The sequence below is a fragment of the Homo sapiens genome, chromosome 17 (assembly GCF_000001405.40).
Source record: "Homo sapiens chromosome 17, GRCh38.p14 Primary Assembly".
Taxonomy (NCBI): Eukaryota; Metazoa; Chordata; class Mammalia; order Primates; family Hominidae; genus Homo; species Homo sapiens.
Window position 1 is genome coordinate 61,241,144 of NC_000017.11, and position 19,947 is coordinate 61,261,090.

A 19,947-nucleotide genomic window follows, 5' to 3' on the forward strand; every position below is an offset into this window, starting at 1 on the left:
ACACTGAATATGTGGATTTAATATTAGAGGCTTGACTATTTGAATGTGATTGCAAAAGTCAGTGAGGACTCTGTTATTACTACGAATTTGTAGGTTGGTATTTAGCTTAGCAAGTGATGAAGCTAGTGAGTGAGCCTGTTTACCACCAAGTACCCACGTCTTCCTTTGGCTCTGTTGTCCTCTGCTTGTTTCATCTTGTGACTTAAAACACACACACCTTAGCCAACTGTTTATGCTAATGATGAAAGAGAAGTCAAAGTAAATAAGCTTAATAAAATAATAGTTTGGGCCTGCGCAGTGGCTCACCCCTGTAATCCCAACACTTTGGGAGGCCGAGGCAGGCGGATCACGAGGTCAGGAGATCAAGACCATCCTCGCTAACACGGTGAAACCCCACCTCTACTAAAAAAAAATTACAAAAAAAAATTAGCCGGCCGTGGTGGCGGGTGCCTGTAGTCCCAGCTACTCGGGAGGATGAGGCAGGAAAATGGCGTGAACCCAGGAGCCAGAGCTTGCAGTGAGCCGAGATCGTGCCAGTGCACTCCAGCCTGGGCAACAGAGGGAGACTCCATCTCAAAAAATAATAATAAGAATAATAGTTTGGAGGTAAAATGAGTCTAAAAAATGTACTTACCTATTTTTTCTCTACTAACATCATTTAACATGTAAAATAAAATTTTGTTGAATAAATGTTAAATGTTTCTGAGAAATCTGAGAGCTTTCATAATAGTATAATATTCAGGTTTTTTCTTGTTTGTTTGTTGTTTACTAAAGAGGAATCATTTCTCAGTGTTAAGTATATCTGGGACCAGAAATGGCTCTTGTTATCCAAGGTAAAGAATCCAAACATTGGCTGGGTGTGGTGGCTCACACCTGTAATTCCAGCACTTTGGGAGGCCGAGGCGGGCAGATCACCTGAGGTTGGGAATTCGAAACCAGCCTGACCAACATGGAGAAACCCCGTCTCTACTAAAAATACAAAATTAACTGGGCGTGGTGGCGCATGCCAGTAATCCCAGCTACTCAGGAGGCTGAGGCAAGAGAATTGCTTGAACCTGGAAGGTGGAGGTTGCAGTGAGCCAGGATTGCACCATTGCACTCCATCCTGGGCAGCAAATGTGAAACTCTGTCTCAAAAAAAAAAAAAAAAAATCCAAACATCAGGAAGACAGTGTAAATATCAGGGTCTGACCTAAAGGAGACCTTGAGATGTGTGCTGGTTAGCCCTTTGACAAGTCTCACAGTACCTTAAAACACATATTTATAGTGAGGTTTGAGTAACTTGGAAGTCTATTTTAGACCAAATACACGTTTGGTTAATGTTGCTAGGCATAGAGTGTAGCCCTCCTCCCTTCATATGAGATCCTTTAGACGTGACAAGACCCGCCTGTGATGCCTAGACCCTTCTCCCATTTAGAAGGACATCACTGAATGCAAATTTGCAAAAAGCTATGGCAGAACCTGTGGTTAAAATCTCATAAGATTCAAAGAGTCTGGAATTTAAGAAGCTAAGGGAAAATATATGTCCAGAGCCTATCTTCTACCAGTCAGCCTTGTTTTTGCTTACATAAGTTTATTCTTTTTCTGAGCCAATGTTGAATTGAAGTAATAGTGATCACAGCTTATCACAGTTCTCTAAAGATTATTGCCTCCTTCACTGCCTTCATGAATTAACACCAATTTCTTCCAAATGGAATTCTTTAAAAAAAAACAAAAAAACCCAAAAAACTTTATTGAGATATGATTGACATACAAAAAGCTATACACTTTTTTTTTTTTTGAGACGGAGTCTTGCTCTGTCACCATGTCACCAGGTTGGAGTGCAATGGTGCGATCTCGGCTCACTGCAACCTCTGCCTCTTGGGTTCAAGCAATTCTCCTGCCTCAGCCTCCCAAGTAGCTGGGACTACAGGCGCGCACCACCACACCCATCTAATTTTTGTATTTTTAGTAGAGATGGGGTTTCACCATGTTGGCCAAGATGGCCTCCATCTCCTGACCTCGTGATCCGCCCGCCACGGCCTCCCAAAGTGCTGGGATTACAGGCATGAGCCACTGCGCCCTACTGCTATACACATTTAATGTCTACACTGTGATGAGTATGGAGATACGTATATACCTATCCATCACCTCCAAAAGTTACCTGCTGCTCTGGCAGAATCTCTTTCTTATTTAAAGCTGAGTAATATTCCATTGTGTCTATATACTATATTTTCTTTATCCATTCATTCATGGATGGACATTTAGTTTGCTTCTACATCTTGACTATTGTGCATAATGCTACAGTGAACGTTCCATACAGTGAAGTGGAGATACCTCTTCGAGATCCACATTTCAGTTCCTTTTGATATATACACCCAGCAGTGGGACTGCTGGGTCATATGGTGGTTTTATTTTTAATTTTTTGAGGAATGTCATAAGTGTGTCTCAAGAAAATATAAAGACAGTATAAGAAGACTTAGAATTGAGTACAGTTTGATTGAATCAAGGGTAATCACCATTATCCTGATTTTCAGGACTTTCATTCACTTCCTTCATGTAGCACAGTTCCCTGCCAGAAATATCCATCATGGACGAAGTGACTGCTAGAGACTTCAGGGAAAATAATAACTTATAACTATTTTATGTAGTTGAGGGATGAGTGTTTTGGTTCTTTCCTAAAGAGTTGGAATCTGCTCTGTCAACCAGGCTGGAGTGCGCTGGTATGACCATAGGTCTCTGCAGCCTCAAACTCCTAGGCTCAAGCAGCCCTCCCACCTGGGCCTCCCAAGTAGCTGGGAATATCAGTGTGCACTACCACAACCTGCTAATTTTTTAAGTTTTTTTTTTCAAGAGACAGAGTCTTGCTATGTTGCCCCAGCTGGTCCTGAACTCCTGGCCTCAAGTGATTCTCCCTGTCTCAGCCTCCCAAAGGGATGAGTTTTAATATGCTAATTACTTCAAGTTTTAAAAGAATAATATGTCAAATTAAAGCATTTTTAAACCTCTTTTTTTAACTCAAGTAATACATATTTATTATTTAAAAAGCTTAAGAAAAAACAGAAGAAAAAAGAAAACTAAAATCACTTGTAATTTCCTTACCTACAGTTAACAACTATTAACATTATGGTATTTATTAAGATTCTTCTATGCATTTGTATACACACATATATACGCTATTGTTTGTAAAATGAAATCACACTGAGCTTATTTACCATTAGGTAATGAGTCTTACCTGTCCAGTAATGAATGTGTTTTCCTTTGCTTTTTTACTTAGCACTATATTGTGAATATCATGAACAAAGACAGTTTGGAAACAGGGTGACTAGAAGTCAACAAAAATATGTGTTACAAAAGAATAACAATAGGTAAAATTCAGAGTATTATTTTAATTTACTGTTAAAATTACCCAAATCTCACATACTTTATTCAGTCTATATTTTTAAAAATTGGATATATAGGCCCGGCGCGGTGGCTCATGCCTGTAATCCCAGCACTTTGGGAGGCCAAAGCGGGCGGATCACGAGGTCAGGAGATCGAGACCATCCTGGCTAACACGGTGAAACTTCATCTCTACTAAAAATACAAAAAATTAGCAGGGCGTGGTGGTGGGCACCTGTAGTCCCAGTTACTTGGGAGAATGAGGCAGGAGAATGGCATGAACCCAGGAGGCAGAGCTTGCAGTGAGCCGAGATCGCGCCACTGTACCCCAGCCTGAGCAACAGAGTGAGACTCCGTCTCAAAAAAAATAAATAAATAAAAAAGGATATATAGGGAAGGAGCAATTTTTTAAAGATTTAACTGCAATTGCATAGTATTTTGTGATTTCATTATTCATCTTTCTAAATGTGGTGTAATAGACTATAATTTTAGTAAGTGTATCAGTCCATTCTCACGCTGCTGTAAGGACATAGCCGAGACTGGGTAATTTATAAAGGAAAGAGGTTTAATGGACTCACTGTTCTGCATGGCTGGGGAGGCCTCAGGAAACTTAAAATCGTGGCGGAAGGGGAAGCAAACACGTCCTTCTTCACGTGGTTGCAGAGAGAAGAATGAGTGCCCAGTGAAGGGGGAAGCCCCTTAGAAAACCATCAGATCTCGTGAGAACCAACTCACTAAAACAAGAACAGGATGGGGAAACTGCCCCCATGATTCAATTATCTCCACCTGGTCCCTCCCAGGACACATGGGGATTATGGGAACTACAAGTCAAGATGAGATTTGGGTGGAGACACAGCCAAACGATATCAGTAAGTATTTATTTTTATTTATTTTTTAGAGACAGGGTCTTGTTATGTTGCCAAGGCTGGATTCAACTCCTGGGCTCAAGTGATCCTCTCACCTCAGCCCCCCGAGAAGCTGGTACTACAGGCATGTACTACCACACTCGGCTTAATTTTAGGAAGTATTTAAGCAAATATTATTGAGCTGTATAAAACTGTTCATTTTAAAAAGTGAAAAGTTGTTTCCAAACAATGTGTCAATTAGTTTTTCTCTTTGGTAGAAAAATTGTATATGTTCAAATCAAAGTTGTAGAAGTACCTCCCTGCCTAACATTCAAGTGGTTTCAGATGGTAGGCTTTAACATAACAAGATGAGCTATTGGGCTCTCAGAAAAAGCAGTTCCTAAGGGAGCACCTACATTTAGTACTTCTTTTTCATGTTAATGAAGTTCTGTCTCATTGAAAGAAAAAAAAAGAGATTGTTGTTGAGTGGAGGTACCTACTGCCTAGTGCAAGGTCAGGAAGGCTGTGGAGCTGATGGGCAGCTCTTCAGAATCCAGGGGTCCATTATTGGTGCACTCAGCGTGAGGCTGAAGCTGGAAGGTCACCTCCCCTAACGTGAATAAAACTGAAGCTGTGAGAGCTCAGGTGATCCACCCAGGGTTCCACAGTGATTGGGAGGGCTGAGACTTTAGAATTCTGCCTTCTAACACCCAGATTTGGCCTACCTCACACACTGACAGGAATTCTCTTCTATCCTGGGAGAGTCTTACAACTATCACGACCTCATAACTGATCTAAGATGGCTTTCTGGAGATGGTCAAGTCAGGAATAGCTTTTAAATAGGTTGCTATGGCCGGGTACAGTGGCTCACGCTTGTAATCCCAGCACTTTGGGAGGCTGAGGCAGGCAGATGGCTTGAGTCCAGGAGTTCAAGACCAGCCTGGGCAACATGACGAAACCCCATCTCTACAAAAAATACAAAAATTAGCCAGTCATGGTGGCATGTGCCTGTAGTCCCAGCTATTGAGGAGGCTGAGGCGAGAGGACCACAGAAGCAGAGGTTGCTAAGACTCGAGATGGTGCCACTGCACACCAGCCTGGGTAACAGAGCAAGACTGTCTCAGAAAAAAAAAAAAAAAAAAAAAAAAAAGATTTATGTTGTTTCCCCCAGTCCCCTAGGTCTCTCCTTTTACTTCCGCAACCAACCAGAAGTCAATGTAGGAGCCTTGGTGTTAGGTGTAGGCTAGGGGTGGCACCTGACACGGCATCACTGGAGCCTGTGTACTGGAATTAGACCAGTTGCTACAAGTTAGCTCTGTTGGTTGTCAAGAGAATTTCCTTTTCTTTATTAAAATGCAAGTCATGCTTTTGTTTTAATACAATATCAACCATTCAGCCTTGACATGATTTAAAATGAATATGGGTAGTTTTGCCTTTGAGTGAGAGTGTGTGTGTGTGTGTGTGTGTGTGTGTGTGTGTGTGTATGTGTGTGATAACCTAATTGACAAAGCAATCATGATGTTTTCCATGAGCCTGATGTTATCCCATCATTCGGAGACCCATTTTGTTTAATTTGTTTTTTCATATAGTTTCTGGTGGGAAAAATGCATTGCTTTAGTACCGAAATTAACTTGATTGAAATGTCTTAGACTTTATCATTTTCCAGTGGCTCAAAGGGTTATTTCCCAAGTGTTTAATTTTTTAAGTACAGTGTATATTAATTTCACTGCTACTTTCTGACATTCATCATTCCATGAGAAATTATCACAGATGAATACATCAGACTTTTATTTACACTCCAATTCCTACTCAATGTAAAGTTATTTAACTTTGACGATAGCATGCAAATTTGATAAAGATGAGGTTTTTAAAAACCTGAACCATTTATTGATTTGCTAAGTATAATTTTCACATTTTTCTTATAGTATTCTATAATACATCTTTCAGAAGGAAAACACTTGAAAACTAGTATAATCTTCAGGAACCGTTCAATCAGAAATAATGAGTGGAGAGGTCACTTATCAAAAATATATTGTTTAAAATACTTATATTTAAGTATTTCTAGTCTTTGAGGTAAAAAGTTCTGCCACAAAAAGTATGGATTCATTGGGCTTCTGAATTCTGTACATGTCACGATTTTTGCTCTTGGGCTAAAGATAGAAAGTAAAATAAAATGTTCTTTGTCCATTTAGTTATCCTTGACTCCATGAAATTCTCCAAAGTAATTACTGGTGACCACAATACCACCTACCAGCAAGAGCAGCATTGACCATGTGCCAAGTCCCTTATTGCCGACCACAGCTGCTCTTGACTACAGCAGATGTTTCTTCTTTTGACTTGGCAGTAAAATTTTATTAAGCAGTTTTGCAAGTAGAGAGCAGCATACTCTACCTGATGAGTGGCTGGAGATCTTAGCCCTTTTGTGCAATCAGCTTAGTTTTCTCCTATCTACCATCAGGCCCCCGCCTCTAGGTTCCTTGGATCTCACCAACCAGGCCTCAGGCCTTGTAAACTGCAGTCCTCTTGGGTTTGCTTCCCTACCCACCCATGTAATTTTCCCAAAGAAAATAATGTTAGAAGAGCAGCCGCACTTGTGGTTACAACTTGCGGCATTGAAAGGCTGTCACATTGGAACTTTGTTCCTACCAGTTGTGGGTTTACAAAAAGGAGTTGGGGTACTTTGTTGGGATGTTTTGTTAGGATGCTTTTCTGAATTTTTCCACATCTCTTTGGTTTGGATGTTGACTTGGAAATCTCTTTTGAATTAGCTTCTTTTGGAGAGCTTTCTGCTTTTCTGAGCACTTCTTGGATCCTTTCCCCAACAAAGCCACCAAGGGAACTTCTTCTGATCCTATCTCTTTTGTAGGTGGTACCCTATTTGAGTCCTTCTGAAGACTGGAGCACATAAAGGCCTGATTTTTTCTTCTGAGTTGGATTGGATGGTTTAACATAATTTGTCTCTATGTTTTCTGTCTTGGGTAAAGGAATATATTTGTGAATTGTGGCTGATACTACTTTAAAAAATTCCAAAAAGAAAATCTAAAGGACCATTCCTATGATTATTGCAACCCATTTCTCAGGTCTTTCAAAGAAAACAACTCGTAAAGATACTGGCAGTTGAAGGTCTAAGTCCCAGCCTGGCATGAATTCCCAGAGAGCCTTGGGCCTTGGGAGGAGGGGTAATATACAAGATTAGAGTGCAAAGTCCATCTGGTGAGAATTTGTCTGGTTTGTGCTTCCTCAGCAGGGAGGAAGTAGCAGTGACCTCAGTCCTGAATGGTTATTTCAGAAGTGTATCATGGTGGGAATTTAGCCAGCTTTGTGGCAGATGACCAACCCTGATAGCCTGATTTTTAAGGCCCCTAACACAAATGATACCAGGACTTCTTTGAATATTCTATTTAGTCTGTACTAGGACACATAGGACAAGATGAGCGACTATTTTAGACCTGTAGGTCAAGAGGTTTGAAGCAGTATATTCACCTTTTACACTTCAAACCACTTGGAGTATCTTAAAGAAGTAGTATACTGTCAAATACTTATAAAACTTCCTTCTTCTTTGCTCTTAAAGATAAGACGTTGTTTAGATGAATATATATTCTTTTCCTGTGTATTCTACTATTCCTGCAAAAATTTGTTTTTAAAATAAGAAACTTGGCTGGGCTTGGTGGCTCACGCCTGTAATCCCAGAACTTTGGGAGGCCGAGGCAGGTAGATCCCCTGAGGTGAGGAGTTTGAGACCAGCCTGGCCAACATGGTGAAACCCCATCTCTACTAAAAATACAAAAAATTAGCCGGGAATGGTGGCGGGTGCCTGTAATCCCAGCTACTCGGGAGGCTGAGGCAGGAGAATCACTTGAACCCAGGAGGCAGAGGCTGCAGTGAGCCGAGATCACACCACTGCACTCCAGCCTGGGCAACAAGAGTGAAACTCCATCTCAAAAATAAATAAATAAAATAAAATAGAAACTTGAAAATAATACCAGCACTGCTAGAGTGGGTATTTGGCTCAGTTCAGGCCTGTGCCTTTTTTTGATGTTCCCAGAGCAGAGCACTCCTTAAACTAGGATGAGAAAAGTTAATTTTAATCCTCCAAAGGCTTATTTGCTAGCACAAAAGGTCATGAAACACACCCAAAACTATATTGCTAAAATCTGAAGGAGAGAGATCTCAACAGCAGAGATGGACTCTAGTGTCCCAACATAGAATTGTGTCTCTGGCTGAAGAAATAGTTTGTTTTAGGAACGCCAATACAAAAGCTACAGAATGGAAGAGTTTTCCCTTAACTGATCTAAGGGAAAATTCTTTTTCTCGTGTTGTTTTAGGAAGCTCAGAATTATTTAGAAATACTTGTGAAATCATGGTCACAGGAGTTATTTCCAAGGATGTTTAAGTAGCTGCTCTCTGCCCATTATTTTGATAATTACTACACCTTAATCTGTTATCTGTCAAAAGGGAAAAAACTTTCTGTTATCTACCTGATAGACCCATGGAATACAAAAAAAATGTGATGACCCAATCACATTTAAAGCTTTTAAAGCTCCCTTTTGAGATGATTTCTTAGGGTACTAAAATATCACCTGCCCCAGAGTTTACAAATCAGAAATTGAATGAGGCAGGCTTAAAGAGGATCAGAAAACAAGATACCAAATAAGAGCAGCCATTGTAAAACTAGAGAAGGTTACGAAATGGCCCTGCTTTTCTATAAGGAAGGTCGAAGACACCAGGCCCCTTGCCCTGGGTTTGTCTGGTGGAAGTTTAAGGAAAGTTCATACCCTGGGCCCAGTAGAGAGCTTTGCCTTCATAATTGTCTGCATATGATTTGACAAACATAAGACCTCAGTGTTCCTAGATCGTTTATCCCCCTCAGCAATGTGCTAAATATGAAGTAAAAGGTTACCAAAGGGAGGATAGGGAAGAAAACCTAATTACCAATCCTGGTAATTTTAAACATGAGAAGATTTATAAACAACGGCTTCTTCATACACTTGTGAGTTCTGACATGTTGTGAAAATAGGACCTGCTAAGCCATTGAAAGGATTTTCAATATATTGTACGAGATGGAAAGAGGACCCAGAGAAGGCTTGTTTTTCATTTTAAAGAGTTGCTTTAGAAACCAAGGTTGTAACTGAGCACTGCTCTGTGCTGTATCAAGCCGTAATATCCAGTGAGTCATGAAGGCATTAGGGAAGCACTGGAGACATCATAAGAAACATTTGAGTTAATGTTTGAGATAAGGAAGATGATTATCTCTAAAAAGAAACTGAAATTAAGGGGCACAGTCTCCCGTTTTCGGACAGCTAAAAGGCATTCTTTTCAGTGATCTCTCCTTTACTAACCCATGTACATGCTGTGAGTATGTGACCTAGAAACCAGGCTTTTTTAAGCTGAGCTCTGGATACTTGTAGACTGAGACCTTGGGCGAGTTACTGCCCACCTTGGCTTCAGCTTCCTCACCTGAAAACGAGTGATCAACCAGGTAATCTTTATGGGGCCCTTCTGGCCCAAGGACTCTATCAGTCTGGTTTTTGAACATTATCCTACATTAGACAATCTCAGAAAGGTTTTATGACTTGTGGGTGCCTTTGTGGTACTTCACATGAGCGGGAGGTCTTAAGACTATGGACCCCTTGGGAGACCAGTGTCTAATTCTACTACTTCCTCCTCCCCAAGAATTCAGATGGTGAAACACCCTCATCCCTCCAGCCCTGCCCCCAGGAAACCCTTCATTCAGAAAGGTCATTTCATTTCCTGTGAGCCAGTCTTACATCACTGGTGCAAGAATTGGGCAGTGCTTGCCCAGCTGGAAGGTGAGACATTGGAGGCCTCAGCCTGGTGTCCCAGACAGTATTTGTCAGGCTGATGATAAGCTGGTGGAGAGTCTGTTAACTCAAGGCCTGATTCTAATGAATTTGGGATTCCTTGCTGAAAAAAAGACTGGGCTGGGTGTGGTGGCTCATGCCTGTAATCCCAGCACTCTGGGAGGCTGAGGCGGGCGGATCACCTGAGGTCAGAGTTTGAGACCATCCTGGCCAATATGGCGAAACCCCGTCTCTACTAAAAATACAAAAAATTAGCCGGGCCTGGTGGCGGGCGCCTATAATCCCAACTACTAGGGAGGCTGAGGCAGGAGAATCACTTGAACGCGGGATGCAGAGGTTGCAGTGAGCCGAGATTGCGCCATTCCACTCCAGCCTGGGCAACAAGAGCGAAACTCCACCTCAAAAAAAAAAAAAAGAAAAGAAAGACTGGATCCTGGTCCATCCAAGATGCTGCCCTTGAGACCTCTGGGTTGATGACTGATATGTTGGTCTCTTGGGACAAGGCTGTACAGTTGAGAAAAGTAGCAAGAACATCAGATCTCTGCAGATAATCTGGCCCCCATAAAAAAGCAATAGCAACTGGGAAAAGGCTAGACTGCTAGGTTCCCAGCTATACTGGATTATTAGACAAAGCTACCCACTCCATCTTTGTTTATAGAACTCATTTTCAGGAACAAGTGTTTTATAGTGAGGTGGAGGTTGTAAAGAAGCTCTTTATAATGAAGATCCCAAATATGTGAGCCTTCTATCAAGCTTGATCTCAAGGAACTTTACACGGGTGGCAGTTTAGAAGAAAAAGAGAGAAAAGGATAAAGAAAAAAACTAATAAAAATAGCTGAGATCACTCAACAGTTATCAAGAAACAGATACTACAGTTTTATAACACGAAGTACTAAAAGTATATGCACTCTTAAAAGGCAATTAAAACGTATGCTCCAAAACTATAAAACATTTTCTTTTCATCTGCAACATAGAGGGCAGATTACAACACATTAATAACGTTTTGTTTAGAGTTCAGTTTCTGATGGTTTCCAAATGTAGTCTGTGTAGATTAACCAGAAGGAGTCCAGTTCTCTTTTTTAAGAGCGCTTGTAAAGGAAAGCAATGTGGTAAGATTGTTATGAAAAGAGAGTGTATTTAGGAAATAGCACTTAGCAGGGTCTCTCTGAATGGCTGCCAGGTCAGGAAGCTGAAGTGCAAGGCTTGGCCCTTGTTCAGCCCCCCCAGTTCCAGCTTCTTGACCACACAGTACGTCAAGAACATGTCACAAGCCAGCCAGGAAGACTCAGCCCCGCCCATGGGCCAGCTTGGCACGGCTGCTTTCACATAACCCAGGGCTCCAGAGGGGCCGGAGGCAGGCATTCCAGGGCCACGGGAACATGCAAGTTTTTAAAATAGAAGTGAAGGACTTAAAAAAAAAAAAAGCCTGGGAATTAAACAGTTGCTGAGTCCTTGAGTCCTTATGGAACATGGTTCCTCATGTAGAGTGGCAGAGGTGAAAAGGGCCTTAAAGGTTATCTCATCCTCTGCCCTCTGCTTATAGACAAGGACATTGACCTGCTTACAACCATAGTGATAGAACCAATTGTGGAATCCATATCTGTCAGCTCTTAGTCTGCTAAACACACTGGCTTCTACCTCACTGGGCTAAGCTGCCCTTTCTTCCTTGGATTTTGACTCTAGAAAGCTGTCCAGTAATCTGTTCCTATACATTTTTTTTTTTTTTTTGAGATGGAGTCTTACTCTGTTGCCCAGGCTGGAGTGCAGTGGTGTGATCTCAGCTCACTGCAACCTCCACCTCCTGGGTTCCAGCTATTCTCCTGCCTCAGCCTCCTAAGTAGCTGGGATCACAGGCATGTGCTACCATGCCTAATTTTGTATTTTGTAGTAGGGATGGGGTTCCACCATGTTGACCAGGCTGGTCTCGAACTCCTGACCTCAGGTGATCCACTTGCCTCGGCCTCCCAAAGGCCTGGGATTACAGGCATGAGCCACTGAGCCCGGCCCGTTGCTATACCATTTGTTCCTACTACTTGCCTAACTGTTCTATGTCTCAGTCTCAGTTTCCTTGTCTACAAAATGGAGATAATATCAATGCCTGGGCTGGGCCCGGTGGCTCACGCCTGTAATCCCAACACTTTGGGAGGCCGAGGCAGGCGGATCACCTGAGGTCAGGAGTTGGAGAGAATATATATATATATAATCAATGTCTGCTTCACAGAGTTACAAGGATTGATAGAATAAACATGTGTAACATTTACAGTGCCTGGTATGGAATAAGGGCTCAATAATGTTATCTATTCCCATTAATAATAGTATTATTAGCATTATACTATCATCTGTCTTATTGCTACTACTATTTCTACAGTTGCTACATCAGCAGTCCCAGGAACTTGGCCTACGGCCTAGGCATGGCGTATGAGCTCTATGGTAGTAGAAGGTCAGACCCAGGATTGGAGGAGGGGCAGCTGAGTAGAGGGGAAGATGAATCTCGGATGCCTCTGGGCCAGTGCTTCATAAAGTCCTGTGCTCAGATTCCAGCTGTGGAACAGAGGTGCAGAGGTGGATTTTAATGTTATTGTTGTTTTTGCTTTGTTTTGCCTTTCCATTTTTGTTGTATAGTTTTAGTTGAAAGAGACTTTAGAGATGATTAAGTATACATTACAGTTCGGCCTCCACGGTTTACATGGGGGAAAACTGAAGCGCAGAAAGAAAAAGTGACTTGCCTTATGTCTTGCTAGCCTTACTTGGTAATTGAGTAGAGCTCTCTTGTCTAATTTACATATAAAAGGAAAACTGGAGAAGAAAGAGCCTTAGGATAATACTCATAAGATCTAAAATTCCTTTAGCCTTTCTTCTACATCAGGCCCACTGGGACCCTACTTAAAACCCTCATTTTGACCTGGTTCCTCAGTCAGCATGGAGACAAGCCCGAGGAAAAAACTCAAGAGAGCCGGCCTCCTTCCTTAGGTATTATTAGAGAGCAATCCCCTATAAAAGTTAAGTGGATGTTTGTTTTTTATTTAAAACCTTCAGGAGATTTAACCCTGCTGGGCTGCTCCTGCCTCACCCACAGCAGTGTCCCTTCAGGCCTCACAGAACACTTCTGCCGTAAAGAGGGCTTGCTTTCAGAATGCTTAAACAACTCTGACATGCACATTTCTTTGCTTAATACAAGGCTCACTGATTTAGAAGGTAAAATTACTTTCTTAGTTGATGCCTCAATTGTTTTTTCCTTTGAGTTCTTATCTCTCCTTTGCCCTAGTGTCAAGTCAGTTTTCCTGTTTTGCTAAAATGTTTGATCAACTTTAAGATTAGAAAATTTATGGCGGGGCGCGGTGGCTCACGCCTGTAATCCTGGCACTTTGGGAGGCCGTGGCGGGCGGATCACAGGGTCAAGAGATGGAGACCAGCCTGGCCAACATGGTGAAACCCCTTCTCTACTAAAAATACAAAAATTAGCTGGGCGTGGTGGTGGGCGCCTGTAGTCCCAGCTACTCAGGAGGCTGAGGTAAGAGAATCACTTGAACCTGGGAGGTGGAGGTTGCAGTGAGCCGAGATTGCGCCACTGCACTCCAGCCTGGTGACAGAGTGAGACTCCGTCTCAGAAAAAAAAAAAAGGATTAGAAAATTTATACTGCTTTAAATACCCAGTGAGTATAGTATATGATTGCTGGAAAAGTCGTTCATCCTGACCAAGAACAATACAATAACAACAAAACCATTACCTGGAAAAACCAACTAGAAATTCAGTGAGAACATTTTAGCTTTTTCCTTTTAAATTTTTAAAATTCTGACATTGCCTGGTTACATTGAAACAGCCCTGTTGTGTCATCCTACTTTCTTTTTCCTGGTATTTTCCTCTTTGGGACTTTGGTTTCATTAATCTCAATTTGTTCTGAAGGCACTAAGGCAGATTTTCAAAGAGCTGTAATTGTCACAGGGAGAGCACAATGACTTATTGAAGTTTCACATGTTGCTCTTTTTGGAACTACCAGAGATTGGAACCAATTCTCCATCCACATCTCTATCCGAGAGTTAAGTTTTCTCTTCTCTGGTGCTTGTCAAAAGTATTTCTCCCAGCTAATCTCATTCCCAGTTGCCAAAGAAAAGATCTCAAGCATAACTCCTCATCTCCAGGTCACCCGACAAGGTAAGAAGAGAGATTAAATGAATGTGCCCAAGTTTCTTTCCCTTACAGCCTCCAGATCTCCAGAATATACCTTCTTTAGTTTCCACATCACACTTTCCTACATTTCTTCTTAATTTGATGATGTCTTGAGAGTATCTCAGGAAACTGGTATGACTACCAAGGGGACAGAGGCTTTTGTAGCGCATCAATACCCCTAAGTCTATCCATCCTTCTCCAGAAACACAGTGGGCACATCTTTGCACCCTGTGGAATCAATGTTAGTGCTGAAATCAGAGTAGACTTGGCTTTGTACTTTTGTCTGGGTAGTTGGCTTAAGTGCCGTGTCTGTATTGAGTGACACTTCTCCATCAGAATTCTTATTCTTTTGGAAGCCTAGACTATTTCTTCATTTGACCACACTGTGCAGGGTTTTAGTGCTAAAGGGTTCCGGATGTAGCTGCTCTTGTGGAGAACCTTATCACAGCTTTCTTTTCCCTAAGTTATTTGTGGTAAAGTCCTGGCAGTTTGTTTAGATGTTCAGTGAGTGACACCTAATTGAAGAAGTGGCTGGGGCTGGACTTCAAGGTGGATGGTTTTCTTACCAAGTACTATGAAGAGATTTGCTCCTAGACTTTAGAGATGGGAAATGCTGCTCTCTTTTCCCCTGAAAATTGAGTCTCGTCAAACTGACAAGTTATTTTCTGAAACTCCGAGTCATAATTGTACCATATTTATTTTCTGATTTTTTTTAACCTTTCAGTTAATAAATGTTTTCCAGCCTCCATCAGCCTCTACTGGTAATCAGGAGAAATGGGCCAATGGCTTTATGTAACTGAGGTTTCTGTTTTAACATGAAAGTACTATATTTACCTTCAAAATGACCCTCACTTAGATCAGACTACCTGGGGTTGTCAAGCCTTCCATCTTCAAGCCAAGAGGTAGTTTGGTTTTTGTTTGTTTGTTTGTTTGTTTGTTTGTTTTTCATTTATTTTTATTTATTTTATTTTATTTTTATTTTTTGAGGCAGAGTTTCACTCTCTCGCCCAGGCTGGAGTGCAGCGGTGTGATCAAGGCTCACTGCAACCTCCGCCTCTGGGGTTCAAGTGATTCTCCTGTCTCAGCCTCCTGAGTAGCTGGGATTACAGGCGTGGGCCACCATACCTGGCTAATTTTTGTATTTTTAGTAGAGACAGGGTTTTGCCATGTTTGCCAGGCCGGTCTCAAACTCCTGGCCTCAAGTGATCCACCCACCTGGGCCTCCCAAAGTGCTGGGATTACAGGCGTGAGCCACCGCGCCTGGCCGTTTGGTTTTGTTTAGGTGTCTTTGTCCATGGAGTGCTATGTGTCCAGGGTTGTTGCCCACTTCCTGCCTTTGAAACCAGTGAATTGTGTCACCAGAGAGCCTTGGATACAGAGATAAACTGGAGACAGAGTAACACAAAAATAATCATTTCAAAAGAAACCTGAGGCTTTCAGGGTTGTTGGTATGCCATGGCACAAGGACCCAAAGTGATCTTCTCAGGCCTCAACCCCAGCCCATGCAGATGGTATTTGAGCCACTTACAAGAAAAGGTGAACCTTAGTACTGCATATAAATAAGTCTCTGAGTAATTCCTTGGAGGTGAACCTAGGTTCTCTTTGAGGTATTTTCTCTACCAAAATCAAGATTTTTGGATTTAAAAAAAAATTTACATTATGCTTTTTATTTACACAGCATTTCCGCTCACATGATTTCCATTTAGATCTCAATCTTTGCGATCGGTGTTGTCATGTCCATTTTGCTGATAAGGCTTAGGGAAAGAAACTCTAAAATCACATTGCTAATAAAGGGCAGAACTGGCCAGGCGTGGTGGCTCACGCCTGTAACCCCAGCACTTTGGGAGGCCGAGGCAGGCAGATCACGAGGTCAGGAGTTTGAGACCAGCCTGGCCAATATGGTGAAACCCCATCTCTACTAATAATACAAAAATTAGCTGGGTGTGGTGGCCACACGCCTGTAGTCCCAGCTACGCAGGAGGCTAAGGCAGAAGAATCGCGTGAACCTGGGAGGCGGAGGTTGCAGTGAGCCTTGATCACACCACTGCACTCCAACCTGGGAGACAGAGCGAGACTCCATCTCAAAAAAAAAAAAAAAAAAAAAAAGGCAGAATTCTGGCATTCCACCCATGTCTTCAGTCGTTTCTTCAAGAATACTTTTACCAAGCCACCTTCCTTTGAATGGAATACTTTAGCGGTCCCAAGAAAGTCTTCCTTTATATCAAAATAGCAAATATTTTGGTCATGTTAAAATACTTTTCTTCTCAAGAACTTTGATGTGCTGCATCTTCAAATAATAGAAATCTTAATTCATTATTGTCTTGTTTAAGGTAACATTATGTAGAGGGAGGAACACGGAATTTGGGATCAATCAAATAATTCAAAATATGATTCTTCTCTGTGATAAATGTGTGACTTACACTTAGCTTGTTTCTTCATCTAGACAAATGTGAATGGTAAACCAGCTCAAAGGGGTCTTGCAAGTATTAAATGCAGTGACACAAACACAGTGCTTAATAGTAGTAGGAATCCATAAACAGACATTTCCCTTCCCATTTTCACTCTGGTTCAAACTGATCTTTTCTTTCTTACCTCCCACTTCTTTCTTAGATCAATTCTTTGCTCATGGGAAATGTAATTGTTAATCCTCTCTTGAGCATAGATTTTCTCTTCCCACCTTATTATTTTTGTGCACACTGTTCCTTCCTCTGAAGAGCCCTGCTCTTCTCAGTGTCCTTCATACACTCCTGGTTAACCACCTACAGGATTTCTACTCACCTTTCAAGGTTTAGAGAAAATAGCGCTCTTCCTTGCAACCTTTCTGATTATTCCAGTCAAAAATTGTCTTCTTTTCTCTGAATATCTTTGTCTTTAATAGTCATTGCCCTCTTATGGGACTTACCATGTTTCGCCTGATGTTGTCTTTAAGTATGTAACTTTATTTTCTTTCCTATCAGACTTTAAATTCATTGTGGAAAGGGGTTGTTACTTCGTGCCTTTAGATATCCACCATAATGTGTAGCGTAGTTCCTAGGAGGCTGCATGGTATGATCAAAAGAACACAGGTTTTTAGAGGCAGGTTTATCTAGGTTTGAGTTGTGGGTCTGCCACTTCTTCACTAGCTGTTGACCTTAGAAAAGTTGCTTCACCCTCTGAGCCTCTGTAAAATGTGAATAATCATACCTACTTCATGGTATCGTTGTGTGGATTAAATGAAATTGCATGTAAAGTGCCTGGCACAAAACAGGCGCTTAATAAATGTTAGACTGTTCCCCTTGATCATAATACAACATTGATTAAGTAAGTAGACTGATGTTCACTCCTTATTGCATGATTTTCTAAAGTGGAGAATTTTGGATAATAAATTTTAGTAGACTCATTTGATATAACAGGGACTGGTATACACCCTCTGTAGTTGATTTGGGAAGCCAGGCATCACTCTGTGGAAGAACCACAGAACACTAGCTAAATATTGACAACTGACTATGCCGTCTTATTCCAGCATATGGATTTGTATTCGTAATTCCCCAAGATAAGATTTTACCGTCCCTCTTAATTTTATTAATCCATTCTAAACTGACAGATGTTGCAGTGAGCTTTGAGCTCTTGGGGATTCTTGTTTTGTTTCTGATTAAAAGATGAGTTTCCTTCTTAAACCCAAGGGTCTAAGTATCAGTGCCCTTCTCTCCTAAACATCTTGCTTAAATGCCAGAAGTAAACTTGTTATTCTCTATTGGATGCTAAAGAAGCTTTTCACTGTCTAAGCCCCTTCTAAACATGTTTCCTTCTAGGAGGCAGAAGAGTGGGAATTGTTTAGCATAGTACCTGGTACTTGGTAGCTGCTTAGTAAACAGTAGTTAGTATCATCATTACTTGTATTTACATTTTTATTTTGAAAGAGCATGGGGAGTGTAAGCAGAGCTCACAGAACTAATCTGTGTTGATCTGTCTTCTTCTTGAGGGCACACAGAATTTGAGAACACTGAAATTCAGCCAGATAGTGACCCAGGGTTATGGTCAGGGTTCCAGTATGGTTTGTGCTTTTGTTCCTTCTTGGAGTCCAGCTCTGACTTTAATAGCACAGTAACTGCCAGTTCCTGTCCATAGGGGTTGAGAACATCGTTGGATGATATGTTTAATGCTGCAGATGCTGAGGTTGTCTAAGTCGTGGTCTCTTCTTAGGTTACTGGCTGGTATGTGAACTGCTACTCCAGAAAGCAAGTTGGTCAACAGAAGAATTTTAATGAAGCCATTTAAGTGTTCCAGCCACTGGAGCTGGTTCTCTTTGTTGTTCTTTTTTTCCCCTTCCATCAACCTACTTTCAAGAAGAGGCTCATGTTCTGGTTCCAGGGCACCAGCCTTAGAGTGGGCAGTCGTTCATTACTGGCCTAGGACAATCATATTGGAGATCTCCCTGGACATCAGACACTTGCTATCATTTCTGTTCTCTTGTTGGCTGATCCTCCTAGTGCTTTTAGGGGCACCTGAGGTCACTTTTTGCCATAAGGCATGTCACTCTGTGGCATCTTACTGAATAGGATATGCTTTTTATTACTTTGGACTGACCTAGTGATAATAATACTAATAGCCACTATTTATTGAATTGCTGTGTGAGGTAGGCGTTGTACAGGCTGCCTAACATAGTTTTTTATTAATCCTCACAACAGTCCTTTAAGGTAGGCATTAAGGTAGGTATTCTTATGCCCATGTTACAGATAAGTACTGGATAAGTTAAATAACTTGCCGAAGGTTTAAACAGCTACTAAATGCCGAAGTCAAGACTTAACTTCAAAGCCCTGTTTCCACTTTATTTACAGAAAGCTCAAAATGCCCCTGAAACTCTGAAATCACTGTGGTATTTCACACTAACTTACCAGAAATTCCCAGGACATTAATTCAGGGATCTGAGTTTAGTGTGTAGAGCATTACCCAATATGAAAACAGTGGAGTTCCACAGTTTTATGAGAAAACCCAGAGAAACCCATAGTACGTTAGACAAATTGGAATTGAAACGCTTAAGTAAAAAAATATTCATTTTAAGGTCATCTGTTTATACTGACACAAGGTCTATAGAAAATGAGAGAGTTGGCATCATGTTTCTGAAATATGCAATTTTACAATGGGAACGTGTTATAAAATGCCCTGCCACTGTTGTTTTCCTTGGGATTTAGAGTGAGAGACATGAAGGCTGACAACTCTCTTCCTGTTGTAGGTCAGAGCTTCAAGGAACTCTGTAATCTTCCCACCAGCTTTATTCTCTCCTGAAACTCACGGGTAAAATTAGATGCTGGCTGGACGTCAGTAGTTGAGTTTGAAAGCTTTCAGAGGCCAAGTCAGACAACTGCAGCAGACTGCTTTCTCACAGTACCAGTTTGAGAGACACTTTGTACCGACTAACATAGTTTAGTAAACCGATGAGTGTCTGGCAATTTTGCCGTAAAACGCCATTAATAACAACGCCTATAGGAGCAGAAGAAAATGATCTTTGTGTGGTTAATCTTGGAAACAGGATCAGGCTTTATCTTCCTTTTACCAATATGCTGCCTTTACCTCTTGATGTTGCTCTACTCTAGTGTACTGTTACAGTTGAAAAGCAACAACTCTAGATGAGGATTTAGTTGGAACTATTTTATTATATGCATTATAATTGACTCTAGGAGGCAGACATGGTGAAAAGGGTGTGGGAAGAAATTATTTAAAGGGTGAATGCTCTCCCAAACTATCATCAAACGCATTTATCTAATTTGACACAT

At 41.4% G+C, this 19,947-nt stretch overlaps 1 protein-coding gene across 8 annotated transcripts in view, besides 2 other annotated features; it reads left to right on the forward strand.

Annotated features, from left to right (window-relative positions):
• BCAS3 (BCAS3 microtubule associated cell migration factor) overlaps nucleotides 1-19,947 on the forward strand; it is a 714,981-nt gene that overhangs the window by 563,293 nt on the left and 131,741 nt on the right. The gene's annotated exons all lie outside the window — the stretch shown is intronic.
• Nucleotides 4,057-4,582: an enhancer, noted in NCBI's record as "OCT4-NANOG-H3K27ac hESC enhancer chr17:59322561-59323086 (GRCh37/hg19 assembly coordinates)". NCBI's record gives its function as "activates a minimal SCP1, AML or CMV promoter by ChIP-STARR-seq in naive and primed H9 embryonic stem cells {active_cell/tissue: H9 hESC(naive and primed)}" and the evidence as "EXISTENCE:reporter gene assay evidence [ECO:0000049][PMID:30033119]".
• Nucleotides 4,583-5,108: an enhancer, noted in NCBI's record as "OCT4-NANOG-H3K27ac hESC enhancer chr17:59323087-59323612 (GRCh37/hg19 assembly coordinates)". NCBI's record gives its function as "activates a minimal SCP1, AML or CMV promoter by ChIP-STARR-seq in naive and primed H9 embryonic stem cells {active_cell/tissue: H9 hESC(naive and primed)}" and the evidence as "EXISTENCE:reporter gene assay evidence [ECO:0000049][PMID:30033119]".